This window comes from Homo sapiens, chromosome 5 (genome assembly GCF_000001405.40).
Source record: "Homo sapiens chromosome 5, GRCh38.p14 Primary Assembly".
In the NCBI taxonomy this organism is placed as follows: domain Eukaryota; kingdom Metazoa; phylum Chordata; class Mammalia; order Primates; family Hominidae; genus Homo; species Homo sapiens.
Genome location: NC_000005.10, coordinates 131,526,265 through 131,547,231, shown reverse-complemented (window position 1 = coordinate 131,547,231; position 20,967 = coordinate 131,526,265). Strand labels below are relative to the sequence as shown.

Here is a 20,967-nt window from a genome sequence, read left to right as displayed (position 1 = left end):
TAAACAGATATTTATTCATTCCATGTTAGGTGTTAGGAGTAAGAAAGATTATTTCGAGAGTTGTTTGTACTGGAATAAGTGTTAGAATTAAGGCAGCTCTAATGTTTGTCACATTTGCCTAATTGCATTGATTCAATACAAGAATATGAAATAGTCCTAAAATTTATCATATCCAGAGCCACAACAAGGTTTATTTCCTGTTCTCACTATTTAACAATTTCTGTTTTTGTATTGTAAATTTCCCATCACTAATTAAGGTGACATATTTTGCTTTACTGTGTAAGTAATATGTGTCTTTTTTTGAAAAATTAGAAACAGATTGTTCCTATTACACAGTTATATAACTATTTGATGATATTTTGCAATTCTTGGATAAAGCTTTTCAACATACAGATAAATCTGTAAGGTTTTTGCTAACTATTGAAAACTTAAATATGTAAATTTTTGTTAACTTTTAAAAACAAATATATAAACTAAACATCTTTGAATGTTGTTAAATGTTTTTCCCATTATTCCTAATGACTGCACAGTACTCCATTATAATAATATGCTATAATTTATTCAGTTCTTGATATTTGATAAGTTACATTCTTTCCAGTTCTTCATTATTTATTTATTTTTTTTTTTTGAGATGGAGTGTCGCTCTCTTGCCCAGGCTGGAGTGCAGTGGCACGATCTCAGCTTACTGCAACCTCTGCCTCCTGGGTTCACGCGCTTCTCCTGCCTCAGCCTCCCTAGTAGCTGGGACTACAGGCGCCCGCCACCACGCCCAGCTAATTTTTTGTATTTTTAGTAGAGACTGGTTTTCACCATGTTAGCCAGGATGGTCTCGATCTCCTGCCTTGTGATCTGCACACCTCGGCATCCCAAAGTGCTGGGATTACAGGCATGAGCCACAGCGCCCGGCCTTTTCCTTATTTTTTAAAAATTAAGGTGCTAAGTACAATGTATGCCCACATTTTCATTTCTATAGAAAAAATGTCAAGAGGTAGAATTAATAAATGAAAGAATCTTTAACTGTAATATTTAGTTTTCCTAGTGTGAGCTAGAGTGTGTTTTGACTGCTTGCTCATTCTAGTCTCAACTTCAGTATCTTCTTTTCCCAGATTTTTTTGGTGTCCTGTCATGAATCCTAGACAGATTTCATATTTTCTCTATTAGCTGTGGATCATGCTCATGAGTCATTTGCTTTTAGCCCTCCTCTGTACTGAGAGTTGTCATCTTCTAGATATACTGATTTCCTGGGATCAGAAAGAGCAATAGGCATACTCCTTAGGGATTCTGTTTGTTTGATAACGCTAAGTATAGTGGCATTTTTGCATGTATACCTAGTGTTACATGGTGATCCTACTAAGTACTGTCAAGAGTTTGACAAATCATGAAAAGGAGAAATTGATTCATTTTAGACAAAACTGATTTATTAACTATGAGACCGGGTTAGAGAAGCTTTTTGGTCATGTTAGGTACATGTGCTGTTTCTTGAATTAATGGAGTTATTTTTTCCTAAAAAGGATATATTTCAGTTAACTTAGAAAATATGGTATTGAAGGTTTCATTTATTTTTAATTAATGCTACCAATTATGTAACACCTGTACATCTGGCCAGTGTCCTGCAATATTGGCAGTTGGTCTAGGTAAGGATGCTATGTAGCAAAAATCTTAATCATGTTTATGAGAGCAGCAAGTAGAGAATTGGTTTAATGGCCTTTATAGGGTTCTTTATGTCTTTTGTTCTATTGTCAGCAATTCAGAGAGAAAAAGATCAGGAGGAATCATTTCTTCTTTTAGACAGCAGTGGAAATTTGAGTTTGTTTTTTTTTTCCTTAATGTGTAAACCATCATCTACTTTTTCTTTCTAGAGTGCTGAAGGGTAAAAAAAATTAAAGATGTTAACTGTTGTTTATCATAATTATTCTTTAGTACCCAACTTGTACAAGGGTTTGTATTAAAGATTTTGCCTGTATTTTAGTTATTTTTTAACTAAATTCTTAGAATGACTGAAAAAGATGATTTATTCATATGAAATATTTTTATAGTTTTGTTGTACATTGCTTTGTATAAACATGAATCCTAATCTTAATGTGACTTTTTTTAATGTAGAATAAGCACTTCTGTAATGGTAATAACATTTTTGAAGCTCCGTTGAGTGTTGCTCTGAGTTTGCAACAATTTTTTTGATACAATTTCTTATCACTTTATTGAGATATTATTAAAGGTAATGTACTACTCATATTTAAAGTGCACAGTTTGGGCCAGGCGTGGTGGCTCATGCCTGAAATCCCAGCACTTTGGGGGCCGAGGCAGGCGGATCACTTGAGGTCAGGAGTTCAAGACCAGTCTGGCTAACATGGTGAAACCCCGTCTCTCCTGAAAATACAAAAATTAGCCAGACATGGTGGCGCTTGCCTGTAATCCCAGCTACTTGGGAGGCTGAGGCAGGAGAATCACTTGAACCCGGAAGGTGGAGGTTGCAGTGAGCCAAGGTCATGCCGCTGCACTCCAGCCTGGGCTATAGAGTGAGACTCCGTCTCAAAAAAAAATTTTTTTTAAATGAAATTTTGATTTTGATCAATTTTGACATATGTATAATAAACCTTTGAAACCATCACCGTATTCAAGATTATGATTACTTCCATCACCCTAAAGTTTTGTCGTCTCCCATTGTAATTCATCTTTTCTAAATACCCATCCTCAAGCAACCATTTATCTGCTTTCTGTCACTGTGGATTAGTCTTAGTTTCTAGAATTTTATGTAAATGGCATCATATATTGTGGATTTTTTTTGGGGGGGTGGGCTTCTTTCACACATTATAATGATTTTGAGACCTTTCCCTGTCGTGTGCATCAATTATATTTTTTCCCCTCTCTTGTGGGTATTATTTCATTGTATGAATGTACCACAATTTGTTTCTGTTTGCCTGTTTATGAATATTTGGATTGTTCCAGTTTTGGGCAATTGCAAATAAAGCTACTGTAAACATTTATGTACAAATCTTTGCTGATACTTATACTTCCATTTCTCTTAGGTTAATACCCAGGAGTGGGTGACTGGTCATATGGCAAATGTATGCTTAACTTTATAAGAAACTACCAAAATTGTTATTTAGTGTGGCTGTTGCATTTTACATAATTTGTGTTCTTTGAAAATGACAGTTTCCACATCCTCACCAACACTTGGTATTGTCAGATTTTATTATTATTATTTTTAAAATTTTTAATAGGTAGTGGTATCTCATTTTGATTTTATGTATCCCTGATGACTTACGGTGTTGAGCCTCTTTTCATGTACTTATTAGTCACTTGTATATTCATATTCTTTTGTAAAATATTCAAATATTTTTAAAGTTTGCAACAAATTTAAATGTCTTCATATAGTTTCAGAAATTTCAGAGCTTTGATCTTTGAGGCAGATGACTTTGGTATTTAGATAGCAGAAAGGTGATCAAGAGCAATATTTAGTGAGCAGGATAAGTAATCAAGCCAAGTATAAAAACTCCAGTATTTAGATGAGCCATCTATCTTGAATTCTTGCTTCACTAACTGAATGATGAGGACAGTTCATCTAAATCTTCGGTGCTTCACCTCTAAAAATGACGATATTGTAATACCGGGTTTGCCTGTCTTAGGGGGTGGTTGTTGAAATTTTTAGAATGTGTGTGTATTCACAGTCTAATCACTCAATAATATCTATAGATTCTTCCTTTCACATGTTTCAGAATTTGTGCTTTTCACTTAATTTGCCCATGTCGTTTCTTTAGTGTTCACTTTTTTCTTTATAGGACTGTTGTAATAGCATCTCTCAAATTCTCCCAGCCACCTTTCACTGTAAACGCAGTATTTTTTCATTTTAAGAGATTTTGAAAAATTAGAAAACGTGAAAAGTATTATTTAATTTCTTTATCAGAAGATATCTACTTAATCAGTTTATTTGATTTAAAATTTTTTATCTTCTCTCTGAACTTGTTGCCCTATCGCTAGCCCTGCTTTCTACATCCTCCCCTATACCCTTGCCACTAACTAGTCCATTTATTTTGCTTCTGTGAGTTGTAAGTGAAGCTCTAACAATGTCACTTGTTTTAAACTCTTAAATCTGTTTATGGCCTACCATCAGTTACAGAAAAATTCCAGTAATCTAGCATATAAGTACCTTCATAGTCTAGACCAGTCCTGTTTAATTGAATTTTCTGTTATGATGGAAATATTTTATGTCTGTGCCATCGAAATTGATAGCAGCTAGCTAGCCATAGTATTGAGCTATTGATCACAATGTACAAGTAAATAACCACATGTCCCTAGTTGGACAGCACAGATCTGGACTTTGTTCAGTTCTCCAACTTTCTCTTTTACCTGTTTTCTATGTATTTCCTATTTTTTGGCCATACTGAACAAATTTGCTGACCCTTGAAGAAACCATGTGTTTATGTACATCTCTTGTATATACAATTCCTTTTACTTAAGATGTACTTTTATTCTTTGTCCTCTTAACAAAAGTCTCAAGACCTACTTTCACATCATGTCATGGAGGACTCTGATTTCTTTCTTGGGAAGGATTAAGCACATATCTGCACTCCCATAATATCTTGTTTATGTGCCTGTAAGCACTCATTATGCTGAGTATAATTACAATTATTCTATATTGCAGTGTAATTGTTTATTTAAATATCTCTCTCATCAGAATGGATGCTCCTAGAAAATGTCAACCATCATAATTGTAACCTTAGAGTATATTGCCTGCCAAAGAAAATAAGAGTGCCTGTTCTGTCAGCTTGCTTAGTGTCCTGTGTAACTTTGGGCAAGTTGTATGACCTTTGTATGTCTGTCTTGATAGATAACTTATAGATTTGTAAAAGGATTAAATGAGATAATATATAAAAAAGGGCTCTGCCTAGTGTCTGGTGCTCTGAAAAATAGTAATGTTAGTAGCATCCTATTGCTGTTGTTGTTATTGTGAATATTCAAAAAACCTTTGTTCCTATTGCTTACAAATTATTTATTCCATACCTGGATATAAAAAGTGCTTACCAAAATATGTAAATATATTAAAGTAAATATAAACAAGTAAGCTAAAGAATCAGAACAAAGGGAGAATAAAGGTAAGAAAAGTTAAACCAAGTTAGCTTGAAGTTAGAACAATCAGACAATTAAAATTTACCCTCAGAATCACTCACTTTGAACAAGTAATTTCTTTGTCCAATCTTGAAAGATAAAAGTAGTTACAAAATGTGTATGAAAGTCACTGGATGAGTCACTTTATAGAATGTGTAGCTAGAAGCCAATCAAATGAGATGGAGAATGTCTGCCAAGAAATGATGAATCTGATTTTGGAATTAATCACTTGTAGGCCTATCTGATAGTAGTTAGCAAGGCCATTCGTTTAGCCCAAAACAATCTCCAGGACATGGGAAGAAAATACTATTATCTTACCCTTTAAAGTTTCTAGGGATTTTGTGTATATTTCATAATGAATACAAAATATTTTGCCAGTAACACATGTATTAGTTTTTAAATACATTACCTATGTTAGAAATGTAACTCATTCTTTTCCCCAATGCTATGTGTGATTTTTAAAAGTTTTGAGGCCAAATGCAGTGGCTCATGCCTAATTCTAGCACTTTGAGAGGCCAAGATGGAAGAATCACCTGAAGCCAGGAGTTTGAAACCAAGCTGTGCAACAAAGCAAGACCCTGTCTCTACAAAAAAAAGAAAAAAAAAAAGTAAAAAGAAAAATTAAGAATCTTGAGAGTATATGGCATATAAATCCTTTTCTTATTTAGCTCCAGTTTATCTTTCAGCTTTCTGGCCCCATTATGTTTGGAGGTCCCTAACTTTGGTCCTGTTCTCTTTCCCTGGAAGGCTCTTATTGGCTTCTTCACTTAATATAGTTCTACCCTTTGATGAGTCACTTTGAATCTTGCCACTTGCTGCTTTTATCCAGAATGGGCTTCTGTCATGCTCTTCTGACAAAGTCATGTTCAGCTCCCAAGAGTCCATTCATCCATGACCTCTTTAGAGAAGGCTTTCCTGACATTTCCTGTTCATAGAGTGCACTTCTCTTCATTGGTCCCATAGGATAGTACTTGCATGAAGTGTGCCCATATTATTCTGCAGTGTTCTGAGATAACAAAAAATGGAATTAACAGTTTACTTAAGAATGTTTTAAATGCCTGTATTTTTTATATAATGTTCGTTGTTTCATTTTAAATAGCATATAACGGTAAACATTTTGAAATGTAGTGAATTGAATTTTTTTTGAGACGGAGTCTTGCACTGTCGCCCGGGCTGGAGTGCAATGGTGCGATCTTGGCCTCCCAAAGTGCTGGAATTACAGGCATAAGCCACCACGCCCAGCCTGTGAATTGAATTTTTAATATTGGTACATATGTAGAGTTAAATGGTAAAATTAAACCAGGACCAATAAACATGAAACATCTTGGTTTCACCAAGGTCAAGCACCAAGTGTGCCTTTATTTAACTTTATTCTCTAGAATGTCAGGTCTCATTTGTGCTCATTTTTATAGAAATGTGATTGAGCCAAATATGAATCTGGACATTGTTCAAAGGTTTAAAAAACTTTGTTGGTGTTTGCATACTTTAGTTAAGAAATTATAGTCCTTCTCCTTGATTTCTCCTTCCTTTTGCTACTGTATATTTTTGTCGTTGTTGCTTTTGAGACAGGGTCTCGCTCTGTTGCCCAAGCTGTGAAATGCAGTTATGCGATCATAGTTCACCATAAGCTCAAACTCCTGGGCTCTAACGACCTGCCTTAGCCTCCTGAGTAGCTAGGACTACAGGCATGTGCCACCACACTTGACTAAGTATTTTTATTTTTTGTAGAGACAGTGTCTTGCTGTTTCCCAGGCTAGTCTTAACTCCTGGGCTCACGCAGTCTAATCACTGCAGCCTCCCAAAACACTGGGATCATAGACATGAGCTTCTGCACCCAGCAAGCTGCTGTATTTTTAAATAGCAGTGTGCCTGTATGAGTGTTGGTTATATGTTTGTTGTGTTATTAACTAGATCTCAAGTTCCTTAGTAGACTACCTCATAATTTTTTTTATTTCTTGTTCTCTGTGTTGCTTAGGATGCTTTTTATATTCTCAGGGACAAAATAAGGTGCTAGTCTTCCTCTCTTTCTTCAGCATAGCGTCTGCACAGACATGGAGCCAGCCAGCTCTTCCTAAAAGAACATCTGGAAAGAATGATTTCCATGGCAGCATTATGGATTGGGGTTTTTAATTTGAAGGGATTCCCTTTGCTGTGACATCTTTATGTATTTTCTTTCCATCTAGTCTTTTGTTCTGGGATTGTATAGTGGGTGGTAGGATGATGTGACACGCTAGAATCTACTTTTTCATTTTAGGCTCACACATTACTAATGTAGCAGGCGGTTCTTTCTCATTGCTACTTCTCTGATTATATCACGTTCTCCATTCTCTTTCAGTGCTCCATGTTTTGTTTAGATCCAGAGCATATTAGAGAGTTAATGTACATTTGTCAATGCAGCTCAATAAGAGGTGATTATTAGGACACCACATCACTTACCAACTTTGTGGTGATATACTGAAAAATGGCTGGATGCTTTTACTTGACCATGGGTGTGACCTCTTAAGGTATTATTGCAAGTGTGTTTCGCTTTTATGGAGTGTGTGTGTATGTGTGTCTTATTCATCAAGCCATTCCTGTAGTAAGAAATAGGTCCATGCCCCCACCTCCTCATGAGAAACTAGAGGACTTTGGTACAAACATGTGATTGCTTAGTTCTCTTCATGGAGCACCAGTAAACAAAAAGTTTAAATATTTATTCAAGTCAAACTAAAGGAGGTGTAAGCACTATTGTTGGATCAATCATTAGGAGAATTTAGAATTTGAACTGTTTAAGTGAAAGTCACTGTTTGATGAAGAAGCTTGTTAACATTGTGAACTTTATTTTGTATTTGTGGGCTTGATAAATCCTGATTGTTTTTAATATGGTATTTCATAAGTACTTTCAGAATGAAATAATGAATGAATAAACAGACTTTTGTTACTTCTAAACTCAGGAAGTTTGCAAATGGGATCTTTGATAATCTTATTTGTATATAAGACAGTGAATGCTGATCACACTACTACTGAGAAGTTTGGATCCCCACCTCTAAGAATCTTCAGCTTTTCAATATTGCTTCTCTTCTCTCTTTATTTACAGCCCCAAATACTCTGAACAGGTGTATATTCTTTGTGATTCTTTCTACCTTAAAAACAAAAGAAGACTTTCTGTTTTTGTTTACGAGTATCTAACATCCTTTAGGAGAATACTCCTCCTTTATCTTCTAGGAAATAATATGGAATTCTTGATAGGTTTTTGTACCTAGTTAGAAGGTATTGAGTCCACAAATAGACAAAAAGCATAGAAGTGATACAACTAAAACTAGGACAAATGCCAAGTTAGAGCAGATTTTGTTTTAATTTTGTGAAGAAATGCTTATTGTAGAAATGTAAAATATATAGAAGAGTATGAAGAAGGAAATGAATTTGCTGTCATCCTCAAAACTGGAGATAGCTACTGTCACTTAAAATTTTTTTAATGTACCATGGTCCCTCAGTATCCATGGGGGCTTGGTTTCAGGACCCCCTGCAGATACTAAAATTCGAGGATGTTCGAGTCCCTTTTATAAAATGGTGTAGTATTTTTGTGTAATCTATGCACATCCTTCCATATACAGTCATGTGTTGCGTAATGACAGACCACATAAATGACATCAGATTTTGCTGCCTGTTTTTACTGTACGTTTTCTGTGTTTAGATACACAAATACTTACCATTGTGTTACAGTTGCCTGCATTATTCAGTAGAGTAACATGCTGAGCAGGTTCATAGCCTGGGAACCATAGGCTGTACCATGTAGCCTAGGTGTATAGTAGGCTATACCGTCTAGGTTTCTGTAGCTACACTCAGTGATGTTTGCCCAAGGATGAAATTGCCTAATGACACATTCCTCAGAATGTACCCCAGTTGTTAAGCAATGCATGACTGTATTTTGAATCATTTCTAGATTACTTATAATACCTAATACAGTGTAAATGCAGTGTAGATAGTTGCTATACTGAAATTTGTAGTTTTTTTTATTGTTGTAGTGGTTTTTTGTTTTTGGTTTTTTAGGTTTTATTTGAGACGGTCTCGCTGTCAACTAGACTAGAATGCAGTGGAATGATCACAGCTCATTGCAGCTTTGACCTCCCAACTCAAGGGATCCTCTCACCTCAGCCTCCTGAGTAGCTGGGATTATAGGCACATGCCTCCACACCCAGCTAACTTTGTTTTTTTTTGTAGAGACGGAGTTTCATCATGTTTTTCAGGTTGGTCTTGAACTCGTGGGCTCCAGCAATAGCCTGCCTCGGCCTCCCAAACTGTTGGGATTACAGATGTAATCACCACCACCCCCAGCCTCTACTGTTATTTTTAATGGGATTTTCCCAAAATATTTTCTGTCTGCAGTTTCTTCAATCTGCAGGTACAGAACCCATGGACACAGAGGGCTGACTGTATATATCTTTTGATTAATTTAAATATTTTAATTAATTTAGATGATGCTGAATGTTTAGTTATGTATCCTTGTGTTTGTGTTTCTCATGCAGTTAAATTTTTTCCAAAACATTACTTTCAATATTAATATAATGCTGTATGAGTGTAACGAAGTATTCTCACGTGGCTTCCAATTTTTCTCCTATTACAAACAACTTTTAGGGAAAAATCTGTACATGACTGATTATTTCCTTAGGATTGAGTTACAGAAATTACTGGGTTAAAGGTATGAAAATTATTTTAAGTTTCTACATGAATATTGGTAACTTCTCAATAGGCATTTTAAAATTGTCTTTATTATTCACTATGTATAAAATGCTTGAGTACTGAGAGGACCAGAGCAGGGCATGCCCCTCTGGTTGTCTGGGGCAGTTCTTCCTCCCTTAATGGTGTGACACTAATTCAGACAGATTTGCCCAGGGAACCAGAATTAGGAAGACTTTTTATCATACTTGAAATATTTTATGGAGTAATTGCTAAAGAAGGAGCTTTTGATAATTGTTTAAAGCAACTCAGATACTAATGTATACCAGTGGTCTAAGACTGATTATGACAGTGTTCCAGTTGGAAGGGGAATAACAACTACTCAGACATAGCAAACAAATTAATGCTGACCTAACGTTATTACCTTTTAGTTTGATTTGGTATGTGTTTATTAAGTGTGCTATCTTGTGTATGTGGCTTTTACAGTGCTAGAAAATGTAGTATTTAAAAGTAGAGAAGGGACGTAATGGTCATCTTTATGAACAAGGGATATAAAGGAACCCAGGAATTCACAGATAGTTTTAAATGAGAGTTCATTTTTTATCATTTATATATGTTACTCTCTTTTTGAAGAAAATTAATACGCTGTTTGAAACTTTAGGTTTGCATATACTTGAGTAACTATATACAAAATGTATCCTTTTGTGCAGGTATGAAGATGCTTGATACGCAGTGTAGACGGAAAGCAGAAGCATAGTGGTGCCTTTTATTGTTCTTTCAATTTCACTGATTCTAATTATAGAAGCTTACATCACCTTGGTTGATGATGACGGTTTCTCTCTCCTTCTTGGTTTTTCTTCCTCTATTACTCCCTAAGGGTGGATCATATTTCATAGTGCATGTGTGTCCAGCTGGTGGCTGTGACAGATTTTCAACAAAAATGGGGGTGATCAGTTAGTGGATATATATGACAGTATGCTGAAGCACACTGTTTCTTACAAGAGAATAAAAGAGCGTTGGTACTCTTGCCTCCCCTCCTTCATGAAGGCTGAGGAATAGGTATGCAGTTTGAAAGCAGAAGTCCTAAGGGGCACCAGTAATTAGAGTTAACTGTGTCTGATAACTGCAAAGATGCATTTCAGATGTTCATGTTAAACATGGGGGAAAACGGGTGGAAAAGATTGTTATGATCCTTTGAAAGGGCTTGTATGTTACCTATGATCATTTCAGTCATTTATTCATTTATTTTCCAAAAGACTTAAAGTGTTTTCACTATGTAAATCAGTACAATTTAAGTTTATATTTCAAAAACCAAATATAACTAAAATACAGAAATGAATATCCTCTTTATTTTGTAAAACTACAGAATTTTTCTTTTGTTCTTTAACTTCTTTGGCGTTTGACTTCTCTAAATTATGATTATAATATTTCATTGCAGATTGGGAATAAATTCCATTTAAAAATATAATAAGTAAATAAAATGCCTGGGTTAGTATAAATCCAGTTTTTGTTATCATTAGTTTTGTTTGTTTTTCATAATGCCTAGAATGTTTATCCTCTTATGGCTTACCTTCATCTATGGTAACCTTTCTCTGTCCTTCTTTTCAGTGTTGTCACATATTAACATAAAAGATGTGTTTACAGTTAGTTTAGTAACTATCAGAACCTTATCTTTGGCTTTCTAAACAATATGATTTTAAGTATTTCAGTTTGTATTTTTGTTTATAAATAATATACACAGTTAACATAAATTTTAATAACTACATGGCATTTACACTTTTATAAAAGTATTTTGTCATGATTTGAATCTTTGCAAAGTCAACATACATTGCTCTATTTTATAGTAGTGCAAAAGACCTTTCTAAAGCTAAAGATTTCATTAATAAGGGTTAGCATCATGGCATTTCATATGCAGGGGAAACGTGTTCATAAGTGGCTGTCCTGTAGTGATTCCTAGACAATAGGTAGATCAGGACATTCTCCTTTGCTGCACTTAATTCATTTGAATTGATAAGATAATGAGATGAGATCGTGATAAAATTCTAAAAGTGATGCAAGGGAAAAATAGGTTATTCACCTAGTCATTTATTTTAGTTATTTGATAAATTACTATTCTCTTCAAAGGATGTTTATTTCTTCATTCAGTAGTTAAAAGGTGAAGTCATTATTTCCTCAGAATGCTGGTGGATCCCCGTGTTGAGTATGGAATTTGGCCTGTTTCTTTTCTTAGTATTGTTACACAGGGAGATTTAGCATGATAGGTTCACTATACAGTTCCCTGGAATCGAAGATACTATGAGATGATTGGTAGAAAAGGAAAAGGATGATGTCATCTTCACTTACAAGCCAAACTAAAGGAAAAGAGAATTTTGTTCCTTTACTGAGTTGGTGTTTACTACAGTAGGTCTAACATATGGCACTAGTGGATTGCATTTCTCACACTGGGCAGCAGTTTTTTAAAGCAGCTAAGAGATGGCTGTCTCCCTTGCCCAGCTTGAGGTCCTTCTTTGTGTGTTGATCAGCATGATTTATAAAAAGGGGGAAAGGTGTGCATTAAAATTTTGCTTTTTGATTCGGCTATAATATATTCTGTTGGTACTATACATGAATATAATTACTGTCTGGTGTTGAAATTCTTGGTATTCTTGAATCTTGCTACTGATATTTATGTGTAAAATACTCATCTTTTAGAAATTTTATCTTAAGTGAAAGTTTGTCTTCATGTACATACAAAGTACCTACTATCATTTTTCTGTTTTAAAGAATGATTAACATTAGATTTTAATTAATGTACAATATTAAGTATCAAGTGGAATTCCAACTCACGTATGATTGATTTAAATTAAACTGAAAAAAAAAAAAACACATTGGTGCTTGAAAACCAACCTGTATAAATATTGCATGTTTTATGTTTAGAAAACTAGTCATGCTTGTTTGCATTTGTGAGATTTAATTTTATATTTAAATGCGGGTATTGTGTATTTTGGTATTGTGTCTTTTGGAATTTTGGCAGAAAAACATTCTTAAAAGCTTTATGAAAATCTAAATAATTACATATTTTGAAAGCATAACTTGTCTTTGTTCAAAATTATACTTAGTTTAACTTAAATTCTAGTTTTATAAGTAGCAGTGTAATTCAGATTGGCAGCATAGTGTTGTTCAGAAAGTGACTCAGACTTTTCTCAAAGATATTGAAGAACTTATTTTTTTTGTGCTTAACAACAAGATGTTTCTTCTGCAGTCAGTGGAGTCCTTTGTTAAAAGACCTGTCTCCCAGGTAACATCTCCTCTTATGTTGCACACCCCATTTTCCCCAAAATAAAAGTGTTAGGTAAATAAAGCAAAATAATTATATTGCTTTGATTTGTTCAGTGATTGTTTTTCTCATAATTTTGCCGCCTGGAGGTATAACTAACTATATTTTACTATTGGGAACTGTCTTTCTTTGGCCACTAGGAGCAACCATTGCAAGCTTAGTTGGAGTATCTAATGCCTTGTAGCAGAAGCATGAAGAACAAGGATGGGTACTAGTGGTATTGTGTTTCAGATGGAAGAGGGTGTGGCAAAATTAAAATCTTTTTCTGTAATTTCTATAGAAAAATGGGGCAATTTTTTTTAGTCCACACTCACTCTGGAAGCAGGTTTAATCCTTTTCTTTGATTTCTTCTGAGTGAGTTTTGCTGGCTTCTTGTCTTTTTCTAGGAATTCAGCATTGGGCTACAGGAAAGTACCATGTTGTGTAGATTATTCTTTCTCAAAGAAGTAGGTGCATGCTGCAACTATTGGTGTACATCTGATTTTTTTCCAGCTTCCCTTTGCAAAATGAAATTCTATTGTTTCCATTTAAATTTACTATCTACCTACAAATCTTAGTACTAGTTTGTATATTCTTAATGTTAATTTAGAGTGATCCTGAAGGTTATATCTTTCAGAACAGTTATTTGATAAATAGCAAATTTTGCAAGCAGAAACCCCTTGTTAACAAATACATGTGACATCTGAGAACCTAGGCTGCCTTGTTTATTTGGAATGCAATGGTATCTTATCAGAGCTTATAATTTTACCTTGGGAGGACAATACTGTATTACATTTGAATAATAATAGGAAATATGGCTTCCCAAATATAGCTGTGTATCAATGTACAGAATTAAAAATCAAAATGGATTTTTAAAACTGTGAAGTAGAAAGGGTGCTCAAGCCAATTTTTTTCTTAAAGAATTTAGCTTGCTGACGTGTCTCATGGAAAGGAGGATGGGGTGTGTGTGTGTGTGTGTGTGTGTGTGTGTGTGTGTGTGTGTGTATGTTTTCAATAAATTGCTCTTGGGGCTACATCTGCAGATACAGTAGCCAATTGATCTAATGCAGTTTCTGGAGGCTTTCTGTACAGGTGATGTCATCCTTTTAGCTCTATTCTCCTCCCACTCTCTTTCCTTCTTATTAGATATTTCATCTTACTGCAGAGCATAGAATCAATAGGAGCTTCTCCTTAGGGAGCTGCTTTGAAACAGGCAAGGACAGTAGAAATTAAGACACTAACATTCAGTCTTGCTTTAGCAGAAGATATAATGGTTTTGTACCATATTATATAAAAATGTTTAACCAGAAAAGCTAGACTTAAATCAACAGTGCTGTTTTACTGATACATTAGAATAAGGAACAGTGCTGCAGAGCTGTAAACAGTGCATGTGAATAGAGAAAATAATTACAATTTTGGAGATTCTTAGACATTCTACAGGACAAACCTGTTACGGCATATATCATCTAACTGCCATTTGCTCAACTTTTTTTTTTTTTAAACCTCTGGAGGTTAAGAATATAAAGAAGAAACTTTAATCTTCAGGATACAATGTTTGCTTTTGATGCAGAAGAATCACTGCAGTGCTTGTTCTACAGAATGAAATAAGTTGAAGAAAAGACAAAGCTATATTACAGAGAGGAAAGGTTTCACGGAATCCAGGAACACAGATTTGGTGCATGTTGCCTGATTTGCTTTGACTGATACCGTATTAACTGTTGTGCTACCACTCTGCATGTCTGTGCCAGGTGCCTGAGGCCGCATGTATATGTCTGTATATTCTGAGCCAGAATTGTAAACATCTTCATTTACTGTGATTTGCTTGTTAAAGTGAACGTTTTAATTTAGAACAATACTGAAAGCTCCTGATTTCAGTTTTAAAAGGGGTTTGGAGAGGCTGCCTTTATATAAACACTGCAGTGGTGTATGATTTGTAAAAAGAAACTTAACAGAATTTTATCACCGTACTCATCACTGTAGCTCTGGTTTGAAAAGGAAACTACCCTTTCCAGCCTAGGAAATGGCTTTTCTTGTTCGCTGTTATGCCAATTGTCTTCAGCCATGGGCCTCCAAAGTAAGTAATTGTTATTTTCTTAGCAATTGATTTAATCCAGTTATTAAATTTTATTTTGAACTGTAAATGAGCTTTATTGCGCTCTTTTCTAAACTTTAAAAATAAGAACTACAAAGTAGTCTTTCTCATTGCCATTTTTTTTTAATTTAAATATCTAAAACATTCTAACGTGACCTCTAAGAGATTTGAAAGGTGCGTTTTAAATCTGTAGACTTAAAATGCAGTGCATTTGAGATGTACTCTCTTCAGACTGAATTATTTTTTGATTATGGCTATTGCTGTACTTATCAGTGATCATACTCTAACTTGCTTCATTTTCTTAAATGGTTGATATATTTAGGTATGTTAGTCTAATTGCCAGATTATATGACATTTTTCATTAATATGATGCTGTCATAAATTATGATTGAATTGTGCTATTTTACAATTGAATTGTGCTATTTTACAAAGATTAGTTGATAATTCTTGAGCAGTGAAATAATATGAAGAAAATACTCATGAAAATCAATTATATGAAAATATTTAAATAATGATTCTAAGTATTTTCAAGATAGTAAACCATTAGCAGCTGGAGACTATTTAAGGTCATCTATCATACTTGTCATTTTTAAATAAACATAATAACTCACAAAAAAGCAAAGTGCTATACAACCTTCCAGGCTAGGTTGTAGGAAAATATATACTCTAATTCAGTGAGTTTTATTATACACAGTGGCTATTTATATAGTCTGTAATTTGATGCCACTCAAGTTATCTTTCCTGTCTCATGTATGTATTATAAAACAGTGTTTTTTCAAAACATTTAAATTGTAACATTTATTAAGATTTTTTATGGTTCTCTTGCATACAGACAGGCACAATAGAGGCACTTCTTAGTATGGTCTGAAATCATGTCTTTGTTTCAAGGTTGTCCTGTTGATGGTGACTAAGGAAGAAATCCTATGATAGCATCGTGGTGTTTTTCTGTTTTATCTGGCCTAGCTCACTGCATGTCTTTCTTAAAGGCAGCTTCTGGAAAGACATTTAAATTCACTGTCCATTTGGCAAACAGCTGATTGAAATGTAAATAGATGAAAAGAAGCCTAGGTACACAATGTATTTGTGCTATTATCTGGCTAAGGCTTAAATGGCCTTTTTAGTGAAAATGACACCTATATGGCCCAAGCATTGCTGATGCTTGATAGCTGCACTATACTACAAAGGTTTAAACCACTTGTAGAAAGGAAGTGAGTGAGACCGTGTAAAAAAAACTTTAAAGAAAATTAAGAATGAGATATAGGGGTTGTTTTTTAAGGTAACCAGCAAAATAAAATAGCCTTTGGAATGCTGATAGCCAACTTTTGATCCCAGATTTAACAAATATGGAAGAGTCAAAATTTCAAAATCAGCTTCTAAGGTTTCATGAAATGCCAGCAAACATTATATGAGCAGGATTCTGGATTGGTACTCTACTGTGTAAATCAAGTATTTGTAAGAGTACATGTCTCCATCCCCCTTCCCTCATGTTACTGTTGATGAAATTTTGACTCTGGATTGCAATTAAACACATAAAACTTAGAATTTTGTTATACTTCTTTTCATTTTCCAGTACATTTTACTGGTTTTATTTTTGTTCATGTATTTTTGCCTATGCTACTATGTACTTGCATTTTACTACTTCTGAATTCATTAATTTTCTTGCTAAAATAAATAGTCGTATTAGCATGGTTCTACTGGGGGTTGGGGAAGAATGAATCATAAATGCCTTCCTTTATATTTACTCTTAAGATAATTGTTTAGTTCAATATAAAATAATAAATCCAAAGTCTTTTTTCTTTAGCAGTTTGAAAAAGTTACTACACTGTCTTCTGGCCTCCAGTGTTGCTGATGAGAAGTCTGAGCTCATGCTTTTTTTTTCCTTTGTTAATTACTTTTATTAGTAGTTAGTTATGTTTTTGTTATTTTACTTTTTTTTTTTTTCTTAAGAGATGTGGTCCTCAAGCTTGGCCAACATGGTGAAACCCCGTGTCTATTAAAAATATAAAAATTAGCCAGGTGTGGTGCCACATATCTGTAGTCCCAGCTACTCGGGAGGTTGAGGTGGGAGAATCGCTTGAATCCGGGAGGCAGAGGTTGCAGTGAGCTGAAATCGTGACACTACACTCTAGCCTGGGTGGACAGGGTGAGACCCTGTCTCAAAAAAAAAAAAAAAAAAAAAAAGAGGGAGACAAGGCCCTGCTCTGTTGCCCAGGCTGGAGTGCAGTGGTGTAATCATGGCTCACTGCAGCCTTGAACTCCTGGGCTCAAGGGATCCTCCCACACAGCTGGGACCACAGATGCACACCACATCCCTGGCCAATTTTCTAATTTTTTTGTAGAGACAAGGTCTCTCCATCTTGCCCAAGCTGGTCTCAAACTCCTGGACTCAAGCAGTCCTCATGCCTTGGCCTCCCAAAGTGCTGGGATTACAGGCATGAGCCACTGTGTCCAGCCTTTGTTTTATTTATTTTTTTTAATCCTTGATGCCATGAAGTTTTGCCCTGGATTGCCTAATGTTTTGTTCCCCTATTGACACTTTTGGAGTAGTACTCTCGCAAGCTGAAAATTCTCTTTCGTCTTCAGTTGTGAGATTATTATTTTTTTTTTTTGACAGAGTCTCGCTCTGTCGCCCAGGCTGGAGTGCAGTGGTGCAATCTCCGCTCACTGCAACCTCCACCTCCCGGGTCAAAGCGAGTCTCCTGTTTCAGCCTCCTGAGTAGCTGAGACTACAGGCATCTGCCACCACTCCCGGCTAATTTTTGTGTTTTTAGTGGAGGTGGAGTTTCACCATGTTGGCCAGGCTGGTCTTAAACTCCTGACCTCAAATGATCCACCCACCTCAGCCTCCCAAAGTGCTGGGATTACAGGCATGAGCCACAGTGCCCTGCCTGTTGTTGTTTTTTAATTGCAACTCTTTTTTTTTTTTTTTCCGTGGTCTCTCTAGAGAGAAATCAAATTGAGTTTTTTGGGTTTCTTTCAGGAGGTTGACTTAAGTGGTTCTTAGTTGGGAGCTCATCTTCCTGATCTGTTAGAGTTGCTTGTTTGAGGTGACTGTTTACTGGGTGGAGGAAGCATTACCACTTTGGGTTCTATTTCCTTCTTTGAGGTGCTCCTCCAGTCACTGGTCACTGATTGATTTATCCACAGCTAAAGCTGCAGGTCATTTCTTTGCCCTTATCTTACTGTACCTATCTGCAGCACTTGACACAGCTGATCACTTCCTCCTTGACAGACTTTCTTCAAAGTCCAAGTCCTCACCATGACCTACCAAACAGTTTATGCTCCCTCCTCCACTTATCTCCTACTACACTCCTCCTCATTCACTGTCACTGCCCTGATTTCCTTGCCTGTTCTCAGACTTGCCAAGCATTCTTATACTGATTTTCTCCTAAATTGTAGTAATTTACTTTTAGTAAACTCACCATTAAAAAATGAATATTGATTGAAAGCTTCTCTGTGGTTTCAAAAATATTAAAGTGGGGAGATTACTTTGTCTTAGAATTGAAAAACTTTTTAATACTTATTAGTTACATCATTTAGAAACATCCTTCCAACTCTCAACTTTTGGTAAAAATAATGAGTTAGGAATGTTCCATGTTTCTCTTGTAGTTTCACATACCTCAGGCACAGTGCTGTGATCTCTTGGTGTATATACCCAAGGTTCTCCTTTGGGGCTTTTGGGAAATGGTAAATTCCATAAAACAGGCTCCATACTGCCATATATATATATGTGTGTGTGTGTGTATATATATATATATATATATATATAATATAAATATATTATTTTATTTTATTTATATATATATAATATAAATATATTATTTTATTTTATTTATATATATGATATATAAATATATTATTTTATTTTATTTATATATAATATATATAATTATAATATAATATAAATTTATATGTAATATATATTTTATATTATATATAGTATATATTATATAATATATATTTTATATGATATATAATATATAAATTTATATTACATATAATATAAATTATAAATTTATATATTATATTATATATAATTATATATAATAATAATTATTATTATTTTTTGACACGGAGTCTCACTCTGTCCCCCAGGCTGGAGTGCAGTGGCGCAGTTTCGGCTCACTGCAAGCTCTGCCTCCCAGGTTCATGCCATTCTCCTGCCTCAGCCTCCCGAGTAGCTGGGACTACAGGCACCCGCCACCATGCCCGGCTAATTTTTTGTATTTTTAGTAGAGACAGGGTTTCACCGTGTTAGCCAGGATGGTCTCGATCTCCTGACCTTGTGATCCGCCCGCCTCGGCCTCCCAAAGTGCTGGGATTACAGGCGTGAGCCATCGCGCCTGGCCCCTAGAAGCATCTTATAATTCTGGTGGCTTACTTTTAATTTTGTAAGGCCTCCATTGTCTTGTGCTTCAACTAGTGTCTCCTATCTCTTGTGTGTATCATTTTCTTCTATTTCACCTTCTGTGCTTCCAGAGTGATCTTAACAGTAGGTACCCTAAGAGGAATATTGAGTCATAAGGTATATACATTTTAAATGTAGCCTTACATTTGCTCCCCAAAGTGGCTACTCCTCAAATTGTTGTCCAAAATGTTTATACCAGTTCATACTCCCATTAGCAGTTTATGAGAATATTGTTTTCCTCCATAATTTTTCCTGCATTTTGTATTATCATACTTGTTTTTTGCCAATTTGATGGGGAAAAGGTATTTGTTTTAGTTTTTATTTCCCTGATTACTTGCAAGGTTAACATTCTCTTCCAGCTGTTTTTTTTTGTTGTTGTTGTTGTTTTGTTTTTTTCCTGCTGTTGTGACCTAAGTGGCCTTATGTTGAGATGGCAGAGCCAAAAATACCTAAACAGTTTGGATATCTGAGTCTCTGTATACTAAGGCAGTTGCCCCAAAAGTTGCCTGTACACTTCACTAGGGTAAGCCTTAGTGATCTGAGGGCCCCCTATTGTTGTAACAAAATCTAGTCTAACTGAGAAATATAGTAGCTCTTATATCACTGCCCTTCCCAGAAACCTATAGTAGCTCTATATTGTCTATAGGAACCAAATTCAAAATGCCTAGCTTGGCATTGCTGATTATATTCTACCTCTAGCCTTTTCTCAATACCTCTCTTTCCCCACCCCCCTCTATATATACAAAGTATTCAGCAGACTTTGTAACTTCATAATGTCTGTATTCAAGTTGTTAGCTAAAAAACTTTCTTGCTGCTTCAAATAAAACTAACAGTAGGCCTTGTGGACATGTGATCTCCAGCAGAGCACAGAAGTTCAGATATAGGAAATGGATGAAGGATGCTGTGGAAAATGGGAAGTTTTGTCAGACCTGGTGGGCTGGAAGGACAATGGGGTAAATGAATTGAGTTTGCTGATGAAAGATCAGCTGTTGAGTCCAGGTAGATCAGGAAGAGAAAGAGAAAGGGCAGGTAAGCTGAGAGATAGTGGAGAAGATTTAGGGAACCAAGAACTTCTCTTGGAGGAAAAGCCTTTCCTTTTTGCTTCATTTGATACAAAGAAAAGATAAACTACTGGGTGTTGTGAACTCCCAACCAAGTATCAGGAAACAACTTAGTAGGAAAGAGTAACGGATTTAGTCAGGCTGCCTGGGTTTCAGATCCCAGGACCCCAGTTTCCTAGCCATGTGACCCTGGGAAACCTTTATAACATCTCTAAGATTAGGTTTCCTACTCTATAAACTGGGTATAATCATAGTATTACCTCATCTTGTTGTTTGAATGTTAGGTTAGATAATTATGTGAAAGGCATGTAGAAGTGTATGTTTGGTACAAATGGTGGGCACTCAAATG

At 35.3% G+C, this 20,967-nt stretch overlaps 1 protein-coding gene across 6 annotated transcripts in view, besides 2 other annotated features; it reads left to right on the top strand.

Moving 5' to 3' along the window:
- The window catches only part of RAPGEF6 (Rap guanine nucleotide exchange factor 6), a 211,309-nt gene that overhangs the window by 87,998 nt on the left and 102,344 nt on the right, over positions 1 to 20,967 (top strand). The gene's annotated exons all lie outside the window — the stretch shown is intronic.
- Positions 10,442 to 10,736: a silencer, noted in NCBI's record as "tiled region #5338; HepG2 Repressive non-DNase unmatched - State 15:Elon". NCBI's record gives its function as "represses a minimal TATA promoter and a strong SV40 promoter by Sharpr-MPRA in HepG2 cells {active_cell/tissue: HepG2}" and the evidence as "EXISTENCE:reporter gene assay evidence [ECO:0000049][PMID:27701403]".
- Positions 10,457 to 10,686: an enhancer, noted in NCBI's record as "active region_23055". NCBI's record gives its function as "activates an Ori minimal core promoter by ATAC-STARR-seq in GM12878 lymphoblastoid cells {active_cell/tissue: GM12878}" and the evidence as "EXISTENCE:reporter gene assay evidence [ECO:0000049][PMID:35858748]".